The following is a 5,136-nucleotide window of genomic DNA, read 5'->3' on the forward strand; positions in this document are numbered from 1 at the left end:
AAATAAATATATTGTTACTGACTGTGGGAATTATGACTGCAAATGCTACTGTTTTACGGCATTAAGATATTTATTTTATATTTAACTGCATTTCTTTAGCTTTTACATAAATTTTCCTTCACTGACAGGCTATTGGTATAAGCATTTCATCTTTTCAAACGTTTACTAAAAAATACCAAATTCCAAAATTCAGAAATGGTAGTCAGGCCCTACAAGGAAACACATTAAGAATAACAAGCTGATGATATGTTATCATACTGTAAAATATTTTATATTTTCTAACACACTTGCTAATATGTTACTTCACATCCTGAAATCTCATGTTATCATTTTTGAAATGAGAGCTGTGGAAAGATTCTCATATTACTAAGAGTTGTAAAGGCACCCGATGGAGCTCCTTCATTAATTTCTCTAACCATTCAGGGCACTGAAGTCTGTGGGGACAGTAAGTTCACATTTAGTGTTTGTGCTAAATGAATCCCCAACCTACTTTGTTTTAATTTGCATCAAAAAGCCTCTACCCTGAAAGTACTGCATTATTAAGGTTATATAATAATGAGGTATACAAATTAGGAAAGGCAGATTTAGCATCACTTGCTTGGCAACATTAACTTGCCCATCACATTCATATTGAGATTTTAGAAGTGTACATTAGCGAGACACTTCTCCGCACATTACAACAGAAGTCTATTAAAGAATATTTAATTCACTGACTATTATTTCTAATAATAAACATAATCAGAGGATACTTTTTTGCATTTTACTTACTGGCCATTAGGAGGTGTAAAAATGAGGAGGAAAAATAATAATCATAAAAACCCTCAATCTCAAATGATTTAACAGCTTCATTATGTATTTGTTTGGCAGTGCACAAAAACAACTACAGTACGCACTAGGAAATTTATCTTCCATATCTATACAGAATACTTCTTATGATATAGAACCACATGAAGAAAGTCTTCTGTATTATTTTAGTGAGATTGTTAAGACAGTTCACTAAGCACCACCTTTAAAATTTCAGTAAGGTGCTTCCAAAATTAAGATAAACAATTAACTTCCTGTTACTCTTCTGATACAGAAAAATAACGGGCAATTTTGAATTAGTGTTATTAAGCTACCAAAAATTGATACCACTCAGGAAAGATTGTTTTCCCCTTGAATGGTAATGTTTAGCTAAAATTCTAGTAAAAGAAAACAGAGCAATTCTGAGAGGAATCTAAATAGAAAGGGGTTTCTCAGGTCTAGGTAACTAATTCCCATGCAGACGGCCTTCAAATGCATTTCCCTTGCCTCCACAGTCCTCTGGTCTGGTTTTAGTTATTCTGTAGTAGAGGAAAGGCTTCATACATGTGTAATATTTATAGACAACATCATTGTAAAATGGAGTGCAAGTTCAAATCAGAGTTTTAAGGTCAGGAAAAATAAGTATCACTTAAATCATTCACCACTGACACTTTCAGAAGCTCTTAACTTCCTTTAGAAATCTCCCTTTCAAGCATGTGCCAATTTTTATTTTGGCAAATCATGAATAAAAACTAAATGTATAATACTTTTGATGATTACTCAGTGTGGTGCTATTTTTTAAACATTACTAACTTTATAGCAACACTCACATTACATTTAACTAACACATTTTGACAGTGTTTTATTTTCAGTAACTGACTTACTACAGTCCATTTTAAGAATTTTATGTTTTAGTTTATAGATATTTTATTATGCTGATATGTGAAATTTTAAAAATTATAGTAAGAAAAAAAACACATGAAAGCAATTAGTAAGGGTTTCTAATTTATGTTAAATATTAGTTTATCTTACCTAAGCACATGCATGGTAACTCTGTCCACGTAGTGGTAGAAACATAATACTGTAAACTTTAGAAGTTATTTTTTTTGTAAAATAAAAAATTGCATCCAGATCTTATTTCAATTATGAATAACACACTGTTGATGTTATTTTATTTATTTATATGTATATCTATATATATATATAGATATATTTTTTTTGAGATGGTAGGCTCGCTCTGTCGCCCAGGCTGGAGTTCAGTGGCACCATTTTGGCTCACCACAACCTCTCCCTCTCAGGTTCAAGCAATTCTCAGCCACCTCAGTAGCTGGGATTACAGGCACGTGCCACCACACCCAGCTAATTTTTGTATTTTTAATGGAGACAGGGTTTCACCATGTTGTTCAGATTGATCTCAAACTCCTGACCTCAAGTGATCCACCTGCCTCAGCCTCCTAAAGTGCTGGGATTACAGGCGTAAGCCACCGTGCCTGGACTGTTGATGTTACTTTAAAATAGTAGTTTACATTATTACTGTGGAAATGTGGGGCACAAGACATAAGAAATACTAGGTATTAATTTTGAAACTACCCGGAATGGCTTATGGAGGTTTGTATTTGTTGATTTAAAAATAATTAAAAATGCTGTAATTTTTACAAATTAAAAAGTTCCCATAACTAATTATTTACATGAACAAAATGAACAGATAAAAATGAAAAATGGAAAATTTAGGGGCAGTAAGGTAAGGAAGAGGATATAAAATAACATAGGAAGAGAACCTAAAGAAAGTGAAGGTCAAAGATTTAGGAAAAGTTTAACCATTTCTTCAAACCTATAGTCATTTACCTAGGAAATACGGTCGGGTGACCCCAGAAAAACAGCCGAGTTATTTGCTCCAGGGGTTTTCAGCTTACCAATTAAAATAGACCACATTCTCAGTTCCAGACCCAGGGCCTGGCAGAGGCCTCTCCAAGCCCCTTGCATTTCAGTGGCAGTTGATGAACCTCTCATGGCCCAGCATGACTAATAGAGTTTTGATAGCTTTATGTATGAGGGAAACTTAAAGACATTTCTAACACATATTTCTCTCCATCCCAGGTATTAGAAGAAATGCTACTATTTTAAATAGTGGTATGATCATACTGTTTTAGTATCACTTCTTTATCATCATCATCAATGGGTATTAAACAGGGAAAAGAAACTCTTTTACATTAATGGAAACACTATATATTTATAAAATACTGTGTTTTAGAGGACAAAAGATATCACTTTCATATCTTTTTAAAGTGTCTAGTTTCTATATAAGTGTATCCTTAATATTTCTATTATACACTTAAATATTTCTCTTATACACTTAAATATTTCTATTTAAGTGTATAATATTAAAAATATCCGCCATAAGAAAAATACGCATTTACAAAAAAGGAAAATTAGAAATTATGTCCATCACAGAAATCTTCTACAGGATTCTGAATCTTAAAATTGTCTTCATATATTTAGGATAGAATTTGATGTATTTATTATTTTTAAGAGATATGAGTTATTGCATAAAGCTAAGTTAAAAGTTCAACCAAATGGAAACAGTATCCACAAATTCCTAAAATACTATTCTAATCATCTGAAACAAGAATAGGTTTTTCAAATAATAGAGTTAGTTGAATCAGTATTTGTTTGTTTTAGACACTTTATTAAGCTGAGAGCTGCTACTTTATTACTTAAACACTAAGCCTATAAGGAAATAAAAGGGGTTTAATCCAAGTAATGTGAAAATAACTAACCCTTCATCTTACTTTTTTCCCCCAAATAATTGTGGTTTCATTAATGGATTTTTTTTTTGTGAATGGGTCTAAAAAACACCTATTTTGAAACTGCAGAAAGGGCAGGACAAAACAAATCACTTCATAGATTTTTCTGGGAAATATTGCCCTACTACGCTTTTAAAAAAAATAAAAATACTGTAACACATTTCCTCATTTCTCTTACGAATACTTTCTTTTTGATATTGCAAATTCTATGCATACACAGAGCACCTCCTCAATGCCCTGCTGAAGCCCTCTAAAAATGTACAGACATGGTTTTAAAGTGATTTAATTTATACCATTTTAATTCAGCTTTGTAAAAATGTATCAAAGAGATAGCAAGGTATTCAGTTTTAGTAAACAAGATAATTGCTCCTAAAGTAGCCCCTTGAAGTCCGAGGCAGTAGGCAGCTGCAAACATCCGACTGAAAGCCCATCTGTGGCTTCACAGCTTCCAGTCGAGGATGTTTACAGTCGCTCACTGTCAACAGCAATATACCTTCTTTAGCCTTCTGTTGGGTTAACCTGAAGAAGTAATCCCAGCAAGTGTTTCCAAGATGTGCAGGCAACGATTCTGTAAAGTACTGAAGCCTCATTCAAACAGCAATATTCTAGAAAATGTCTCAAATTCAAAACAAATAAGAAGGCTCATGGATGTCTATTATTCATCACCGAGCTTCTAGTTTCTATAAAATTTTGTGATATACTAAAACAACATATATAAATGGTTTCATTCATTATTGTTAGCCACAAGAAGTAAATAGGCAAGTGGCCAGGTTACTTAATATGATTTCAACATGCATTATGTAATTACAATCCTTTAAGCAAAAGTGACCAAACACAGAAACTAAATTATCTTAACAGCGTAAAGCGTACATTTAACATCAAATACTGCAGTTGAGTGAACTTAGACTACCGTGAAAATATAAAAGGTCTACTTGGAAAGTTATAAACTCTGACAAAAAAAAAAAAGACTTACATGCTGCTTTTATAGATCACTTTTGCTCTAAAGTCTGCTCCCAGAGAGGACTTGTACAGTCAGCTGATTTTTGAAAGAGTAAGCAACAATCAGGAGAAAAACAGAAAAGAATAACGAGGTATAACACAGGCATATATCAGTATGTGGATCAAAGTTTCCCACTGGAAAAACACAGAACCTATCACTCACAACAGTGACGCACATTAACTCCAAATTTGAATGTTTTGAATTCCACTCCCATTCTCTTATGAAAATAAATGAGGAAAACTGAAGGTTAAGCTCTATCAGTCACTACTTTCCTGAAGTAATTCAAAACCATTCTGAATCTAGTGAAAGATTAAGTTGATACAGAAAAGTGGGTGTGCCTTTCCCTGAGATTTGTTTTTAGATGAAGTTACCGTAAGGTTCTTAAATTGTGTAAGTCTTAGTAGTTTGTGATCTCAAACCCGAAACAAAAATAAAATCCACACAAAAAGCATCATGTTTACTGAAACTAACAAATATGAAGAACTCCATAAATTACTTTCTCAAAGCAAAGGGTAACTCTATCCCATTAAGGTTAAAAAAGTTAATCTT

General features: G+C 32.8%; 1 non-coding gene across 1 annotated transcript, besides 1 other annotated feature; it reads right to left on the reverse strand.

Annotated features, from left to right (window-relative positions):
- Positions 2,527-3,055: an enhancer, noted in NCBI's record as "OCT4-NANOG hESC enhancer chr6:72111792-72112320 (GRCh37/hg19 assembly coordinates)". NCBI's record gives its function as "activates a minimal SCP1, AML or CMV promoter by ChIP-STARR-seq in primed H9 embryonic stem cells {active_cell/tissue: H9 hESC(primed)}" and the evidence as "EXISTENCE:reporter gene assay evidence [ECO:0000049][PMID:30033119]".
- On the reverse strand, positions 3,989-4,059 carry MIR30A (microRNA 30a). The gene has a single exon (NR_029504.1). It is a non-coding gene; the product is annotated as a microRNA 30a (primary transcript).
- Positions 4,060-5,136: the final 1,077 nt, after the last annotated feature.

This window comes from Homo sapiens, chromosome 6 (assembly GCF_000001405.40).
Source record: "Homo sapiens chromosome 6, GRCh38.p14 Primary Assembly".
NCBI lineage: Eukaryota > Metazoa > Chordata > Mammalia > Primates > Hominidae > Homo > Homo sapiens.